At 42.2% G+C, this 19,379-nt stretch overlaps 1 protein-coding gene across 2 annotated transcripts in view; it reads right to left on the reverse strand.

Moving 5' to 3' along the window:
* Window positions 1-19,379, reverse strand: part of RETREG1 (reticulophagy regulator 1) — a 143,945-nt gene that overhangs the window by 82,448 nt on the left and 42,118 nt on the right. For both annotated transcript variants that reach the window (NM_001034850.3, XM_011514053.4), the window contains exons 2-3: window positions 16,496-16,602; window positions 10,263-10,293 (exon numbers count right to left, since the gene is read on the reverse strand). In NM_001034850.3, coding sequence (NP_001030022.1) covers window positions 10,263-10,293; window positions 16,496-16,602 — 138 coding nt within the window. The remainder of the gene's footprint in view (window positions 1-10,262; window positions 10,294-16,495; window positions 16,603-19,379) is intronic.

The following is a 19,379-nucleotide window of genomic DNA, read 5'->3' on the forward strand; positions in this document are numbered from 1 at the left end:
ATAAAGGTACTCAATAAATTTCTGTTGAAAGGATGGACGAATGAACAAACACATATGTCATTCTACAAAAAGACTGCAACAAAATAAACTAAAAATTGGAAAGTGAGTTTAATTTCTAGGTGATGAGTCTCTAAGTGATTTGGGTATTCTTCTGTGTAGTTTCCTTTATTTTTGATTTCCTAAATTAGCACTGTATTACCTTTACAATTGGGGAAAAATTAAAGTTATTTTATAAATGCTACTAGGCAAATATGACTACAAGTAACAATGTTTGGGGACTATAGATAAATAAATAATAAGAGAAATAGATTTCTAACCACCTGCAAAATCTTAATTTGTATTCATATAACTGCAACACAGCATAGGATGAGTTAAGAGAAATGTTAACTACTAATCATTTTTTCTTTTATAATTTAAATTTATTGACGCAAGCATGCTATTAGGTAACAATTATTCTAGCCGAGTTATTTTCCATATTTATAAATGAACTTCACGCATTTCAAATCCATAATAACTCAGGATCTGCTAACTAATCAAACCTAATAAACCTGGGGTTATGAGAATCTGAAAACACTGATAAAACCATCAGAGTTTTACCTTTCATTTGTTATCAAGCAGCTGTGTAGGCCCAAGGCACTGCCACAGGAAACACCTTTTTTTTTTCTTTTTTTTTTTGGAGACAGAGTCTCGCTCTGTCGCCCAGGCTTGAGTGCAGTGGCGTGATCTTGGCTCACCACAAGCTCCGCCTCCCAGGTTCACGCCATTCTCCTGCCTCAGCCTCCGGAGCTGGGACTACAGGCACCCGCCGCCACGCCCGGCTAATTTTTTTGTGTGTATTTTTAGTAGAGACGGGGTTTCACTGTGTTAGCCAGGATGGTCTCGATCTCCTGACCTCGTGATCCTCCCGCCTCAGCCTCCCAAAGTGCTGGAATTACAGGCGTGAGCTACCGAGCGAGGATGAAGTAGCCCCAAAATAATGAAAAATGGGTGACTGAACTCATGTTCAATCAGATTGTCATAAAATTACATTAACTTAAAGGAATGTCAAAAACGATCCTGAACAACAAAAATTATAAATTATAAGAAAATATAACATTGAATATCTTTTGCTTAGGGAGTTCTGAGTATTACATCATTGATAAGTTACCTAATGTCCACTGCTGCCAGACCCACCTAAAATCCTGGATCCCCTAGTTTCCTGTTTTGACTTGACAAATCTGAATTTAAGGAGAACATGTTGCCTGTGAAAGGAATATGCAATCAGGTACGGGTCTGAAAAACGTATCACCCTCATCAACAGAGCAACTAGGATACGATACGCACCTCTTGTTTCATTTTATTTTTTTTGAGATGGAGCTTCGCTCTGTCACCCAGGCTGGAGTACAGTGGCACCATCTTGGCTCACTGCAACCTCCACCTCCTGGGTTCAACTGATTCTCCTGCCTCAGCCTCCCAAGTAGCTGGGAATACAGGCGCCCGCCACCATGCCTGGCTAATTTTTGTGTTTTTAGTAGAGACAGGGTTTCACCATGTTGCCTAGGCTGGTCTTGAACTCCTGATCTCAGGTGATCTGCCCGCCTCGGCCTCCCATAGTGCTGGCATTAAAGTCATGAGCCACTGCACCCGGCCATCATTTTAGTGTCTCAAGAAATATATCCGTTGCTGTCCTGAAGATCCACGTCAATTTCCTAGAAGGCTCTTCCCTTGAACTTACATTCTAGGCACGTACTTACTTGAGTTAGATGGACTCTTGAGAGAAAAGAGTGGCCCTTAATTGTTCAGCATGAGACTTTTTTTTAAAACTCATAATTTTTTATGTAGGTACACCACTGATGGTAAGAAATAATAACTACAGTTCTCCACATCCTTTTATTCCAAAACAGCTTTAAAACCTACTTCTAGTCTCTTGTTTCATATTTGTCTTCAGTGGATCTAATTTTCAAAGCACAAATTTAAAAAATTAACCACAGATTGGAAACTGCATGTAGAACTTGGAGAAACTTTCAGACCAAATCTGAGCAGCTCTGGCTAAGAGCTTGCTGTCAGTCAATGAATGGATCTGTTCTTTCTTCGGAGAGAGAAAGAAAAGGGCTTTGACTCTCTATTGTGCAATATATGACTGCAGAATTGTGCTCAATTATTATTTTTGAAAAAGGGAATAAAAGGCCCATTTGGGTTTTGATTTTGGCAGGGTACAGACTTTAAAACTGGTGCTTAGTTCCCAGGCTCGCCTAGGCCTCTTCAGCCAAAGATTTACCCAAGCACAGATAGGCTTACTTATAACGCGTATGTCCAGCATATTCTGAATTTAAGTGATTCTTTTGAGGGATGCTTTTTTAATTTAATCTAATTGCTATGGTTTGAAAGTCCCCTGCAAAACTCATGTTGAAATTTAATTGCCATCATGATGATATTAAGATGTGATTAAGACATGAGGGGTCTGCCTTCATGAATGGATTGTTTTTATAGCAGGAGTGGGTTAGTTACCATGACAGTGGGCTTGTTATAAAAGTGAGTTTGAGAAAAAACAAAATTTAAAAAAAGAAAGAAAAAACAAAAATTTTAAAAAGAAATAAGAAAAAAAATTAATGAAAAAAATAAAAGTGAGTTGGAGCTGAGTGTGATGGTGCATGACTGTAGTCTCATCTTCTCAGGGAACTGAGGCAGGAAAACTGCCTGAGCCCAGGAGTTTGAGGCTGCAGTGAACTACGATTGCACCACTGCACTCCAGCCTGAGTGACAGAGCGAGACTCTGTCTCTTAAAAAAAATAAAACAAACAACAACAAAGCGAGTTTGGCCCTTTCTTGCTCTCTCGGGTTCTCCTGCCCTTCCATCTTCACCATGGGATGACATATCAAGAAGGCCCTCAAAGATGCAGGCCCCTTGACCTTGGACTTCTCAGCCTTCAGAACTATAAGCAATGAATTTCTTTCCTTTATATATTGCCCAGTCTCAGATAATCTGTTACAGCAACACAAAACAGACTAAAACAACAATGTATCCTTCACAGCAAGATTTTCTTTTAAACTCATGAAGATGTGGCTCTCTGTCTATAGTTGTGACTGAACAGAAAACTAAAAAATACAGCTTTCAAATATGATGCCTTATTAACAAGGTTCCAGTCTTACTGTACAAGTTACAAGGTCCAGGTACAAGATTATAAAGTGCAAGTTACAAGGTGACTTTAAGACACATTAGAACAAATTCAAACTGTGAAGTCTAGTAGTTACAACACATGAATGTCAGAATTACTGTTACACTTAACATGGAGCGTGATTAAACCTCTTAAGCTATCAGGTAAACATTTAATGCTTTTTATTTGGGAATTCAGATCAGCCAATCTGTGGCTAATCCAGGCAAGTTTGAGATAAAGATATGAGTCATAAATATAAAAAATACATTTTTCTCACTAAGTTCCATTCCTTAGAGGAGACAATTTAGCAAACGCTAGATGACTTTCTACTTTTAAGAGTGACATAATGTTGTGCTCAAGGATTTAATGTGTTAGACATCTCTGATTTAAATGCTCCAATTTGTTCTGGGCCTATAAGCTGGGTGAACACCAAGGACTTGGGTTTTACAACCAAAGATTCTTGAATCCTTTCACCTTCCCACCTCCAACCCCTCCGCCTACTTGAAAGCATACAACCAACTAGAGCATTTTCACTGGCCATTTTCTGGAAGCCCACAAAACAAAAGAGCATTTCATTGCAAGAATCAGGGCCACACAACTGCTTCTCCTAAGAGTTTGAGAGATAGACAGGCTGAGGACGCCCACAATCTGACCAAGCTAGGGGCAAAAAAAACCTCAGGACCCCCTTTGCTAATCCCTGCTGGCTCTGGAAAGACTGACTCTGTTGAATCTGTGCTCTGCCTCTCAAGAATCAGCTCAAGGTAAGGCCATCAGATGCAATGGCCTAGCTGCAAGCTCGGGAAGCCCCATCCACTTCCTGCAGAGAGCACACCGCTAGGGGCATCTGGATTCCTGGAATATCTATCAGAAAATCCGATAGCTCTCAGCCATAATTTTCAGGTTTCAAGCTTTAGATGCCAAGGAAAAAATTGCTTTAAATTGGCACCAAACAATAAAACAAGATTCATGATGAGAATAACTTGTTCATCTGAGTTATAATGTACCAACTATTGAAGAAATTTTGAATGATTTGTTGTATGTAAAGTTATTTCTTTCTAATTTATAACATACTTGGAAAAACCTGGCCAAACTGAAAACAGTTTTATGTTTTTAAATGATGCTGTGCATACAGAAAAGGTCACATGCATACTTTCTCATTCGTTAAGAGGACTTTATTCAATCAAATGCTACAGTTTCATGCAGAAAGGAAAAACTATTATAATACTATGGATCAGGTTTCAATTCAGTGCTAGGAATGAACCATAAAGATGTCAATTTGGTTCTGTTGGCAGACAGCTCTATGTAAATCCTGTTCACAGATTGTAGAGTTAGTGTTTATTAAAGAAATAGGTCAAGCATGGGTCCTTCTCAGAACATACCCACTGAGAACCACATTTTCACAAAGGAATTTTCCAGGTACAAATATTGACATGTGAATGGCATATGACTAAAATTATCTAATGTTGATTGTTGATGAGGCCATCAGAAATTAGACCCTGGGTTTACCATTACATTCAGTGTGACATTTGTGAACTTTATGAATACTCTTTAAACATCCAGAAAAACCACACCTGCATAAGTGTACATATCTACTACCACGTTTATGCTAAATTTTGAAGGAAATACTTTAAGCTTAGTGTAGTTGACAAAAGCAATTTTTCCCAAAGAGTAAATGATAGTTTGTGATCTACATAACGAGCCATTAGGATTGTAGGGAAGGAAAGGAGAAGTTCCTTCTCAATGTAAAAGCTTAACAATGGCACTGTGAGTGGTGAATGGCCCACTATTTGATCCACTTTTTTTAAACAGTGAAATTAATGCTAGGAATGCTTCTTAAAGGTCATGAAACGCCATGGAAAAAAAGGCTTGGCTTATCCTGAGATCTAGCCCAATGAAGAAGGAGGAAAAATTAAGCCTTTCTGACTAACCTGAGAATCTCAGTTGTGTAGCCAAAGGGCAGTTGGAGGTGATTTCTAGCTCCTGCCATGTGAGGGGGAGGTTTCTGAGCTCAGCACCTGTGAATGTGGAGGTGAAAAAACCCTAATCCCACATGGCTCACATGAGCAAAAGAGCACCTCTGTCTGCCTTCAAAGATCTACTTATCAGTCACTGTATTTTGTTCTTGAAATAAAGTGTTCTTTAATTTTTCAGTGTTAAAAATATAAGCACTATCTAGTGCCAGATGCTAAGAATCACTGCAGACAACATATCGAATCATCAAAGAAATTCAAGGAATAAGTATGTAACTTCACATCTCCAATGTGGTAAATAGCATTACACATTGGAAACTGCAGTGGCCACACCGAGGAAAGTATCCCTTTGGTGTAAAAAGACAACAATATGAAAGGGACACATAAATCCCTCACATTGCACCATCATACACTTCTCAGGCTGTATGGGGTACTTGCAACAGTTCACTTGTACCTCCCATTAACCAGATGAAAACCTGAGGCCGAAAGAGAAGTGAAGTTGGCAGGACCACGAGCTGCAGGGTTGGGACCAGAATGAAAGTTAGCTGTACCTGGATATACACCTAACCAGTTCTAGAATGAATAAGACCCTTCCTATAAACGGTACTTCCCGCCGGGCGCAGTGGCTCACACCTGTAATCCCAGCACTTTGGGAGGCCGAGTCGGGCGGATCATGAGGTCAGGAGATCAAGACCATCCTGGCTAACATGGTGAAACCCCGTCTCTACTAAAAATACAAAAAATTAGCTGGGCATGGTGGTGGGCACCTGTAGTCCCAGCTACTCGGGAGGCTGAGGCAGGAGAATGGCATGAACCTGGGAGGTGGAGCTTGCAGAGAGCCAAGATCGCTCTACCACACTCCAGCCTGGGCGACAGAGCAAGACTCCGTCTCAAAAAATAATAATAATAAAATAAATAAAATAAAATAAAATACAAATACAAATAAATGGTATTTCCAGTAGCCTGCCTTCTCTGGGACATGTGAGCACTTCCCCAAAGGAGAGAAATAGCCTAAGTCTAACAAAAGCCCTAGAATAGGGAGCTTCTCACTCCGTAACCAAACCTAACAGTTAGCAAAGTATGTCCTTCGGTTCTGCTGTGCTAATATTTTTTCCAAATCATCATTAAACACTCAAACAGCTTCTGTATTAAGAGACAGCACAGCAGAAATTCTCACATGCAAATTTTAGATGCATTCAGAAGGGTTGTGGGTGCAAGAAAGAAGGGGAGAAAATACCTTGACCAGTCAAACTGAGTCTCAGTAAATCTGAAAGAACCCTGAGTCAAAGAGCATGGAGTGCTTTTTCAAATCCACTGAAATTACCCTAGCTCAGCTTGTCTAATCTTTCCCCAACCACAGTTAGAGAGAAAGCCTCGATTTCCTTGCCTGACAAATGAGGTAACCCAGGCATACAAAGCTTAAGACACTGCCGGGCACAGTGGCTCATGCCTGTAATCCCAGCACTTTGGGATGCCAAAGGCAGGCAGATCACCTGAGGTCGGGAGTTCGAGATCAGCCTAACCAACATGGAGAAACCCCATCTCTAGTAAAAATACAAAATTAGCCAGGCGTGGTGGCACATGCTTATAATCCCAGCTACTCGGGAGGCTGAGGCAGGAGAATGGCTTGAACCCAGGAGGCGGAGGTTGCAGTGAGCTGAGATCGCGCCATTGCACTCCAGCCTGGGCAACAAGAGTGAAACTCTGTCTCAAAAAAAAGAAAAAGAAAGAAAGAAAGCTTAAGACACTTACCCAAGGCAGCCCAGGATATCTGTGGTGGGCAGGACTAGGACACAGGCTCCAAACTGCCAGCCCTGAGGTGGATACATGCCTAGGGCCTGTGTGCCTTAAGGGTGCCATCTTCAGCAAACATCCAAATCCCTGGCTGTTCTCATCAACAGCCTTCAGATCTTAAGTCAGTTTCCCCAATAGACTCTCCTGCTTAAGAGAACCAACTTAGAGATACCTGACAAACACTACTTCAGTCATAACACATGTCGATGGCTTGTACCCTTGATAGGATGATGAAAATGACATTTTACCTCTGAAATTTTTCTCCCAAAAACACATACCCCCAATCTAATCATGAGAAAAACATCAGACAAATTTCAAGAGGAGGCATCAATGACTAGTACACCTCAAAACTGCCCATATCAACCAAAACAAAGGAAATCTCAAAAACTGGAACAGCTAAGAGGAGCTTAAAGGGACATGACAAATAAATGCAATGTGGGATCCTAGATGGGATCCTGAAACACAAAAGTGACATTAGGTAAGAACTAAGGAAATCGGAATAAAGCATGGACTTTAGTTAATAAGAATAAATTAGCTATTGCTTCATTGATTGTACCACACCAATGTAGGATGCTATTAATGGGGGGATGGGGGGGACTGTTTCCAGGAGGTGGGGAGTGTATGGAAAGTCTGTACTGTCTTCTCAATTTTCTGTAAATCTAAAACTGTTTTTAAAAATAACGCCTGTGTGAGAGAACCAACTAATGCAAGATTCAAACCCACTGAACAGTTTAATTCCTTAGCAGAGCAAGATCCCTCTCACTCATACTTACAAATCTTTGTCTTAGAGCTTTAGTTAGCAGGAATCACTCCTCAGAGCCTACACATTTCTGTAGGAACAAAGTAAATGTCTTTAATTTATTTTATGTTATTTTTTAAGACAAGGTCTCGCTCTGTTGCCCAGGCTGGAGTGCAGTGGCGTGATCTCCGCTCACTGCAACCTCTGCCTCCTGGGTTCAAGAGATTCTCCCACCTCAGCCTCCCAAGTAGCTCAATTTACATGCATGCGCCACCATGCCCAGCTAATTTTTGTATTTTTTTGTAGAGTTAGGGTCTCCCTACCATTGCCCAGGCTGGTCTCAAACTCCTGGGCTCAAGCAATCTGCCCACCTTGGCCTCCCAAATTTCTGGGATTACAAATGTAAGCCACCGTGCCTGGCCTGTAAATGTCTTTAACAAACATGGAGCTGGCAAACAAAAATGAGAGCCATGCTCACCCTATCCCAGTTCCTATCCTTTATCATATTATTAATTCCTAAATTAACCAATTAATTTAGGAAGATTTGGTCTTAGAAGATGACCTGTGTGGGTAAAATGTATTTATATTACTAGATAGAAATTGTTTTTATTGAAAAGTTTTTTGAAAATTAATCTTTATTTCTATCAATTAGGCCTAAAAATATAAATCTTTTTTTTCCATGTATTTCAAACCTTACTTGTTGGGTTAATTAAGATACTGGAAAAGAAAAGAGGAAACTTTCTTAAGTGAGTCACTGTACATATTTTGTCATGATTGTAGAAATTATGTCATCATATCCATTGACAATATATCTTAAATTTCTGTTTCCAATTACACAAATTATTTTATTATATGAATACAAACTTTTTTGTTATTCCTTTTTAAAAGAAATCTAAAACTTAAGCAGTATTTCTTGTCTGCTCTATTTATACAACTGTATTTATACAACTGCTGGGTCAGAAATGTATTTTCTGCTTAGGAATCAGATTTTAAATTCTCAGTTTGCTTTTCATTCTCTTCTTTATCCTCCTCTTTACTACTGATAAAACTCTATCAGTAAAGAAAATTATTGCCTGTGCATAATTGCAATTTAAAATAATTCTAAAAACTCATACTGAACAAACTATGTATGAAATTCCTTGTCTTCATAGATGTCTTTTACTGATTTCCAACATTATACTGCATAAATCAGATCCTATTTCCAGCTGAGACGTTCTCTTACAGTTTTTTATTTAAATGATTTCCCTAAAAGATGACAATGTAGAAAAAGCACTTGGAGCATGAAGCAGATAGACAGCAAAACCCAAAACACATTTTAATCCATTCCAAACACATGACTGTTTCCCTATCTCAAAAGAGTAATTTAAGGTTCTCTTTATCTTGACATTCCCACAAGCAAGTTTCTATAAAATAGAAAGAGAACCTTAACCTGCCTATGCGCAGCACACAGATCAGAGCACAGGGCAAGACAAATGCCTACCAGAGCCTATGCCAGCTCTTCCCTGGGGCCAGCCCACCCCTCCCAGGCTGCCCGCCACCTCCACGAGAAGCACCAGGGATCACGTTTCTCTTCTTATATCCAATGTCACCCTCTCTCCTGAGTCTCTTGGCAAGTCTGCATCCTGCCCATGAAAATCTGGGATTTGAAATGAAGGAACAAGCAAGCAGTTGTAAACAGATCATGAAATTAACCTTTCCAGCTGAAATAAGCCTTATTTGCATAAGCACAGCTTCCAAAGGTGCGTTACATAAAATACAGGGTGATTTTTTATAAGATTTTTCATGGCATTATTTTGTCCTCCTTTTGTACAATTCATTTTGTGATGCCCACTTAGATACAAGTCAGGTTCCTCAGCCATCGTTTTTAAGTAATACAAATATATTTTAAGGCAGAAATTTAAAAAATCAATTCCTACAAAAATTCATCTTACTGCAATATTAATCCCCATACTCCCCTCATTTTCCCGCCTCTCATACACCCAGTTGGTAGAGTGCACTGTGGTCCCCTCAATCAACTGCCCCAGCCCTTTCCTTGTCCATTTGGAAACAGCCCCTTTACCATAGAATGGATGAATGATGGACCTTCCATAAAAAGAGAGCTGAGGTTTGCCTCTGGCTGGGCAAGGAGCCCACTGGCAGTCAGCATCTCCTGCACCCTCACACCTCACAGCCTCTCACCCTATCTCTGTGTCTCCCCCACCCCACAGTCCTCTGAACTGACAGCATGGCTAACCCTCGGGAACATTCCAGCAGCCTTCTCCAACTGAGTGCATGCAGCCCTGTTCTCCCAATACAGCAGTTTTGTTCACATCCCAAAAATGAGTCTGAAAGGAAATCCCAAAAGAAAATGCCTCCCTCCCCTCCCTTCCAAATCCTCACACATGATTCTCACAAATTCATGTTGCCCAGTATCATAGCAAGATACACAGCACTTCCTAGAATGAGTCCCAACTTCATCCTTGGCCTCCGATTGATGGTATTTTTCTTCATTTTCCCACTCTGGTAAATTACTCTTGGATTTAGATTCCTGTCACTAAAATTCTATTTCAGAGCTACATCTTGGTGGCTCAGTCCCCTCCCTCACCCTCCCTCCATTAAGCACAACACGGAAAGAAAGTTCCCTACCTTTCACTGAGGCTTCTCCACAACTGTGCACCTGCAACAGGGAGAAGCAAAATGTGAAACTTAACAGAGGTATTTTTCTCCTGAAATATTTCTCAACTCTGAACTAGTCCAAGCTATTTAAAGTGGAATGCTCAGATCTCTAACACTCAGGACACCATCAAGTCATACAGTGTACACTGCTGGCACCATGGCTAATTCAGGCAATTCGTCCACATATACTTATTGAGATCCTACTACATGTAAAACACTTGGGTGAGTACCGTGGGAGATAGGACACTCTATAATACATGGACCCTGCCTCGGGGACTTCATTGTCCCCTGGGGCAGACAAAATATGAACCCAAGTAAATATGAACCAAGATAGGCAGTATAGGAACTAACTACACAAGAGGGAGGCACACACCATGTGAGTTCAGGGAAGAGAGAAAATGCAGCTGCTCAAAAAGCGCCAATAATAGAAATGGCATTTAAGGTGAGTCTTGACATGGTGCCGACAAAAGGAGAACTAAGACAACTGTTATTTGAAAAAAGGAGATTTTTATCTATTCATTGTTTAGATGTTTTGACTTTTAGGTAGGTGCAAATGAAATCAATATAAAACATAAAATACACACACACACACATATATACATATGCACACCTAGATCTAATTTGCTTTCTTAATTTTCCAACCAATGTCTTTATTTGACTACATCTTGATATTATACTCCCAGCTACCAGCTTTAATGCAGCTCAATGTAAGAAATGATCATGAGGAAGCTTCCGCATTTTCCATCTAACAAAAAGCCAAATGTGTTGTCCCTTATGTTTTTCAATATCCCCTATCGAGAGCTATGGGATAAATCCTTCTTAACCTTTACTTCCAGAAATAAGTGTCTCAAAATTGCTTGCTTCATTTTTTTCAAATAATTAGAATTGTGCAATTGATGTGGTTTTCCTTTTTGCCTTGGCTGCCAATATGCATGTGGATAAATCTGTTGATCAATCAGTGGTTACCAGGTTAGACTCTTGCTCCTCTTCTAGACCTCTTTTGAACAGTTTTGTGCTTATGTTCCAAATAAGCTTCTTCAAACTTGTTGGAGGAAGGTGGCATATAAAAACAAATGGAGAACTCAAAAGAATGCAGGGGACTGTGAGCAATAATAAGGTTTCAACTAAAGTTGGAAAGTTGGAAAGCATCAGCTCAGCTTGTCATTTGACAATTCTCTAACAATCCTGGAGCCAAGAGTGGAGAAAGTAGATGATGGTATAGGATGGGCATTGGCTTGTTTGTTTTATTATTAAAAAGTAAAGAAATGAGTATAGCTGATGGATAAGGAAACAAGGACCTTTAGAATGGTAAGGACAGCATCTCTGTAGTCATTGAGCATGGACCAGGTAGGAGCTGAGTAGAGGGAGGAAGTCAGTCTAAAGGCAGGGCTGAAGAACAGTACAAGTGGCAAGAGACTTAGCAGGGAAAGAGTCCATCCAAGAGTCAAAGAGCTGGTTCAACAGGCATGAAAGGCCAGGGAGGAGTGGAGACAGGGTGCACTGAGAACTAACTCGCAGACTCTGCAGGTCTTGGAGACACTGTGCTTCCAAAGGCCAAGGTCAAAGATGAGGCTACCTGATAGGCAACCAAATCCAGGCCATCTGACAAGCTATCAGAGTACAAGTTGGAATGACAGAGAATGGTGAGTGCACGAAGGACTGCAGTTCATGGGCCACAATCCCTACTGAGACCACAGTTGATGGCAACCAGGGTGCTGAGGCCAGGCATCAATGGACAGTGTAGATTTCACAGGAAGGAAAGTATAAAGCAGCAGTGGTTACAGATGCTCCACAGGTGGCTGGGGGAGCCTCAGAGCCACCCACTGAGCCCTCCTCCCACAGCACAGGGCAGTAGCTAGAGAAGATCTTCAAGAGAGCTGGGGGGCAGGCACGCTGACTCACACCTGTAATTCCAGTGCTTTGGGAGGCCAAAACGGGGGGATCACTTGAGGCCAGGAGTTTAAAACCAGCCTGGGTAACACAGCAAGACCCCATCTCTACAAAAATTAAAAAAGAAAATTAGCCAAGTGTGGTGGCATGCACCTGTAGTCCTAGCCACTCAGGAGTCTGAGGTAGGAGGATCACTTGACCCAGGAGCTCGAGGCTGCAGTGAGCTATGATCACACCACTGCACTCCAGCCTGGGCAACACAGTGAGACCCCAATTCTAAAAATAAACAAACAAACAAACAGAAAAGAAAGCGGGGGGCAGATATGACTGGTTCTATCTCAATGAGAGAGAATGAAGCTAGTCATGGAAAAGTTTCAGGATGCAGGAGGAGTTTTCCAGGCCATAGAAGAGTTCCCCAGAGTTCAGACAAAGGCATTAACGCAGGGAAGCACACACTCAAGGTACATAACAATGACAAAGAGAGGGAGAGAGAGAAATCCATCCCAGCGAGAGGATGTTCACAGGCAATACAAAATAGACATGGGCTCCCACAGGTTTCACAAACATTCACTCACAAGATGATATCACTGACTTTTTTTTTTTTTTTGAGATGGAGTCTCACTCTGTCACCGAGGCTGGAGTGCAATGACGTGATCTCAGCTCACTGCAACCTCTGCCTCCTGGGTTCAAGTGATTCTCCTGCCTCAGCCTCTTCAGTAGCTGGGATTACAGGTGCCCACCACCACGCCCGGCTAATTTTTTGTATTTTTAGTAGAGACAGGGTTTCACCATGTTGACCAGGCTGGTCTCAAACTCCTGACCTCAAGTGATCCACCTGCCTCGGCCTTCCAAAGTGCTGAGGTCATGCGGAGGCATGAGCCACTGCACCCGGCCTCATCCATCTATTTCATATTAAGCACCTAAGATGGTATCAAAGATTGTAACTGGGAGTCGTCAAAGTCATAGAAGCAGAAAGTAGAATGGTAGTTGCCAGGGGCTGGAGGAAGGGGGAACAGGGGAAAGGGGGACTTGGCTGTTCAATGGGAACAGAGTTGCAGTCATCAAAGATGAAAACGCTCTAGGGATCTGCTATACAACAACATGCACGGGAAACAATACTGTACACTTAAAAATTTTCTAAGAGAATAAAACAAAAATAATAACTGGGGGAAGGATACAATTAAACTCTCAACAATAAAAGTTTCATATTTTTAGCGAGAAAACGTGGGAAGCAGAGAAGCTGGAAGAGAGGGAAGGAGAGGAGACTGCTGACTTGGTCGTCCTTTCATTGTCATTGTCGTTGCTATAAGCCGGGGCATCTAACAAGAGCAGCTGGCAGTTCTGATTGACGCCATGGAGTTACCGTAACTGCATCTGGATCTAACGTGAAGCCAAACTGTGCCCTGCAGAGACTGATTCATCGCAGCAGCAGCACCCTGCGCTAGGAGGCCTGCGAGATGGGACTGCTGCCAACTATTCACAGGGCTCCCCAATGGGCCTTTGTCCTAAGAGACTCTACTGAAGGAGGATGAAGCTGGCACCAGAGTTTCTTCAGCACAGAAAACAGAGCTCTAGGAAGACAGAGTAATCATTCCCATTTCTTTCTTTTTTTTTTTTTTTTTTTTAATTTTTCATGCAGTAGAAATGCTACACTCAGAGCACTGTCATCCGGTGAAGACTGAAAGCCTGTCCTTGGACAACGGCCTGATCTACAGGATTGCAGGGAGGCTCTGCCTCGACAGAGGTCTGGTTCCCCACAGGGAGCCCAGCACCCAGGTTGGGCCTCAGCACAGAAAGGGGCTCAACACGGACTGACCCAGGAACACACAAACCCCATGTGGCCCTGATGACATGTCAGCTGGGCGAAGTAGACAGCTACTGTGCTGAAGGCCCTTCTATTTGACGCTTTTATTGACCTCTTATAAAGCCCTGTGGTATGAGGATGTTTTCTGCCATTTCACAGGACAGAGAGGTTCAGATGGTATAGGAGGCTGACTCATAGCTCACAAAGATACCAAGTCACAATCCCTGGAATCCATGATTGTCACTTCAAGTGGAAAAAGGGTCTCTGCTGAGGTGATTAGGTTAAGAAATGTGAGATGAGAAAATCACACTGGATTATCTAGGTAGGCCCCAAATGCAATCGTAAGTGTACTTACAAGAGGAAGATGGAGAAGTTTGACATAGACAGAAGAGAAGGTCAGGTGAGCATGAAAACAGATTGCAGTGATGCGGCTGCAAGCCATGGAATGCCCGCAACTCCCAGGAGCTGCAAGAGGCAAGGAATGGATCCTTCCTTAGAGACTCCAGAGGGAATGCAGCCCTGCCAACGCTTTGATTTGGGCCCAGTGACACTGACTTCGGACTACTGTCCTTCAGAACTTTAAGAGAAGATGTTTCTGCTGTTTTGAAACACCAGGTTTGTGGTCATTTATTACAACAGCCACAGAAACAAATGCAGTCTATCATGGGGCTTCTCCACAGGTAGGAAATGGAATGAACTAGCTCAAAAATGAGGCCCTTTAGGCTGGCATTCTTTCTATTCTACTACCTTAATTTTTTTAAAGGACTGAATTCTTGCAATGTAAAGGTTTCCTGCAATTTGTGAGTATGAAATTTCCACATCTGCATGAATATCAAGCCCATGAGTCAACAGCGGAAACGATCTGTGTGTGAGGGGCCAGGAGTGAGAAAAAGACAGTTGCAAAGTCTTTCAGCTTTGCCTTTGGCCTTCCACACATGTCTATTCCTTATAACTTGTGCCCAGACTAGGGCCAAATTTGAGGAAACACTGAAAACACTCAGATGCTCAGCTTGCTTCCTGGGTCCATGTTTAGCTTACTCTACACCAAGATAAAATGGTTGCAGATAAAATGTATGAGTGGCTTTATGTCCTGAGATTTCCCTGAGGGAGTTCCTGTAGAGGGTGAACATATTACTGTCTATTTAGGAAAACAGGCTCTGCTCTACCAGATATGAGTCAAGGCAGATAAATAAGAATCATCAAGGACTGATCCACAGACCAACTCTGGCATGAAACCCTGATGCATGGAGATGCCCCACCTCAAGGCAGCCTGGATACGTGTGTGGTAAACAAGTATCACAACAAGTGCCTGTTTGGGCTGAAATTGGGGAGTTAGGTGTCTGTTCCCTGAAACAGAAAAAAGGAAAGTGAAGATGGAGAGAGAGGGAAAAAAGGGAGAGAAGGAAAAGTGCATTGAAGAATACAACTGAAATCCACAGATTCACAGAAAGCACTAAGGGCACAAAACCAAATTTGTTTGCCTTCCTGGAATCTTGGGAAGGAAATATCTTCAAACCTGGAAACACACGAATATAAAACAATCTAAAGATGGTTTACATGATGAGTTTAAAAACTGTAAAGACTTATAACTGGATTTCAAGCAGATCCCTAGAACACCATGATAGTAAATCCGTACCAGCTGACATCGCTGGCTTCTAGTTGCCATCAGGGAGGAGATGGGTGCCTCCCATAGGGCAGGCCTAGATATCCCTGCCAGGACTATAATCCAGGCAGCTCTGATGCACATCAGTCCACACGGACCTCCACCAAAAGCATCCCTCCATTTGGGGTGCATTTAGTGAAATTAAATGTCTCTTTGTAACCTCCTGGTGGCTATTTCTGATAAAATCTATCTCATTACATTTAAGTTTATGGGGCTTAATTATTCTCAGGAGGGCTTTTCCCAAGTTTACAAAAACTAGCTCGAACAGTGGTACAAGAGGCCCCTCCAAGTATGCAAAAGACTTGAGTCAGATTTGTAATACAGTTAAATTACCCAAAAAGCACCTCAGGCCAATTTTTTTTTTTTTTAAACCAAGCTCTTGCTTTTAAACTTAATGTTAAAATTTATTCATTTTTTATTATCAACTCATTTTTTAAAATTATTTAACCATCGCTTGCTTTTAAACCCTGAATTAGTTGTTTTTCTTCATTGAGGCAGAGAAAATTTTTACATAAACTAGTCCATTTTCCAGTGGCCCAGTTTCATCATGTGAGATGTAATAAATATTTAACTGTTATCCTCACTGCAGCCTACTTAAATACCAACGTGGTATTTAAAATAGCTCTTAAGACCAAGAGAAAAACCAGCACACACAAACCTTTTACCTACAAGCAGTAGCTACAAAGACAGCACCACCTCAATAAATTATCGTATTGAAAACAGCTAAGTCAATGCCTATATTTGCTTCTGTTCAAAGGACTAATTGGCTAATATGCCTACACAAAGATCAGAAATGCAGGGTCTAGAAAATTAAATACCATATAAATAAAATCTGAGTATTCTTACCTCTTGTTCTAGACAAAACCATATCCTTTATTATTTGCATAATAACACGCCCAAGTATCATGACGGAAATCAGGTGATATACTCTCCATGGAGTCAATGCAAGGAACCTGCAACAGCGAAACACAAATCAGTATTTCAATTTGAGGATTTTTAACCTTTTCAAAATTGGGTTTACTTCCTGCCACAGAAACAAAAAAGGTATTCAATAATGATTTCACTTTTTTTTTTTTTTTTTGAGACAGAGTCTCGCTCTGTTGCCCAGGCTGGAGTGCAGTGGCACTACCTCGGCTCACTGCAACCTCTGCCTCCCTGGTTCAAGTGATTCTCCTGCCTCAGCTTCGCAAGTAGCTGGGATTATAGGCATGAGCCACCACGCCAAGCTCATTTTTGTATTTTTAGTAGAGACAGGGTTTCGCCATGTTGGCCAGGCTCATCACGAACTCCTGTCCTCAAGCGATCCACCCACCTCGGCCTCCCAAAGTGCTAGGATTACAGGCGTGAGCCACTGTGCCTGGCATGATTTCACTTTCCAAAATCACCCCAGTGTGACTGCATGAAAGTTATTTAATAGGCATCAAAGTCAGCAAAATGAAAGTGTCTGAGCCTGCGCGCTTTTGTGCTAAGCTTTCTGCTCTACCCTCCAATTTCGGGCAGAGGATTTGCTATCTCAGGCATAGACCAAAATATTGCTCCTAGTGCTGGGCTTCTCCAATAGCCGATGGAGAATGGAAGTGACCTGAAACAGAGTTAGGATGGGCTGCAGAGCCAAGCTGCAGGGCTCTCTAACAGACACGGATGGGCTGCACTACAGAGGCCCTTTAGTCACCACCCTGTCTTGTGTTTTCATTTACGCCCTATTCACTTCTCTAACTACTCCCACCCTCGTCTCTTAAAAACAGCAGTTATTGGCCGGGCGTGGTGGCTCACACCTGTAATCCCAGCATTTTGGGAGGCCGAGGCAGGCGGATCACAAGGTCAAGAGATTGAGACCATCCTGGCCAACATGGTGAAACCCCGTCTCTACTAAAAATACAAAAGTTAGCCAGGCATGGTGGCGTGCGCCTGCAGTCCCAGCTACTCCGAGTCTGAAGCAGGAGAATCACTTGAACCTGGGAGGCGGAGGTTGCAGTGAGCCAAGATCGCACCACTGCACTCCAGCCTGGTGAGAGAGTGAGATTCTGTCTCAAAAAAAAAAAAAAAAAAAAAAAAAAAAAGCAGTTATTGAAGATCCACTTTGCTAACTCTTTCGCTTTAAGATCATGCTCCCCTTTTGCTACCTGTCTACCTCCTCTCTGCAGGGAAACAAACTAAAAATTATTGACCGTGAGCAGCACACAAACCCTGCAGTGCTTTTTTTGGGTGTGTTTGTAAAGAAATCACAAAGAGCGTTGAGCCTTCACATGAGATTAGAGGTCTGTTTACACAAGTTAATTGGCCAAGCTGCCAATGAATATTAACTTTGATAGAATCAGAACTCATAGAAAAATTAATTTAATAAATGTTTAAGACTGTTTGCAAGGCTATAAAGAGAAGTAAAGAACACACGAATACTGCCTTCTGCAAACTTGCTTTCTCATCAGACAAACACAGGCCAAGCTCACAAAGTCCAAGGCAGGCAAGGCTTAGGTGTTGTCACAGAAATGTGCAGAGAACAAGGAGAGGCACAGGGAGAGGGAGGATGGATTCGCTCCAAAGCAGGGAATGGTTTTTTTTTTTTAATTGGTTTTTTGGGTTTGTTTGTTTTTTGTTTTTTTTTTTTTTTTTTTGAGATGGAGTTTCACTCTTGCCACCCAGGCTGGAGTGCAGTGGCACGATCTTGGCTCACTGCAACCTTCTCCTCTCAGGTTCAAGCAATTCTCCTGCCTCAGCCGCCCAAGTAGCTGGAAATATAGGTGTCTGCCACCACGCCCAGCTAATTTATTTGTATTTTTAGTACAGACAGGGTTTCACCGTGTTGGCCAGGCTGGTCTCAAACTCCTGACTTCAGGTGATCCGCCGGCCTTGGCCTCCCAAAGTGCTGGGATTACAGGCACAAGCCACAACGCCCGGCTGGGAAGTTTTTATAGAAGCGGCACTTAACTGGGTCTGGGGAGGTGGATGCAACTCAGATGAAAATAGAGGCTCCTCCAATTAGAGAATACAACATGAACCAAAGATCAGACTCAGGAAAGGGTGAGGTACCTGTGGCACATCAAGTAATCTGGGGTGCCTCAGCAGGAAGAGAAAGCAAAAGAAGAGGGTTCAGAGACTGGCAGAGAGACAAGATTGGGGAGATAGGATCAGGGAAGACTGTGTCAAGCAGAATGCGCAGTAAGTCTTATGCTACAAACAATAGAGAGAAAGTCAAAGGTATAGAGCAGGGAAGTGAAATGATGGGTGATTTAGGGAAATGTCTGAGGGCAACAGGAAGGATGTGACGGGGTAGGGAGGAAGCATGGAGTCCAGACCACCTACTAGAAGGTCATGCAGTATGTTTGGTGAAAAGCAGATCAACATGAGATGCTGGGTGACGTGGTGGGTAGAGCCCTCCACCAGAAGGTGGCCAACCCAAGCTCTCACTGGTTCAAATGCTGTTTGTATGGCCTGGGCCAGCAAAATGAGCAGGTGGACTAGGTCAGTGTTTCTTAAATAACAGTCTGCAACTGCTGCCAGGTTGGCTGCCTGGAAAACTTGTTAAAATGTAGATTCCCAGGCCCCAGGCTCCTCCTCCCAGGCCCCCTGAAACAGGTGGTTTGATTACTAGTATTTGCATCTAATAAATATTTATTGATTGCCTAATTGCACCAAGCACTGTGCTACCAAAAGGGAGTGGTGAATTAGGAGCATAGAAAGATGGAACAGACATAAAAGACACAAGTTACAGAATAAAATGCCGCAGTCCATG

Source organism: Homo sapiens, chromosome 5 (genome assembly GCF_000001405.40).
Source record: "Homo sapiens chromosome 5, GRCh38.p14 Primary Assembly".
Taxonomy (NCBI): Eukaryota; Metazoa; Chordata; class Mammalia; order Primates; family Hominidae; genus Homo; species Homo sapiens.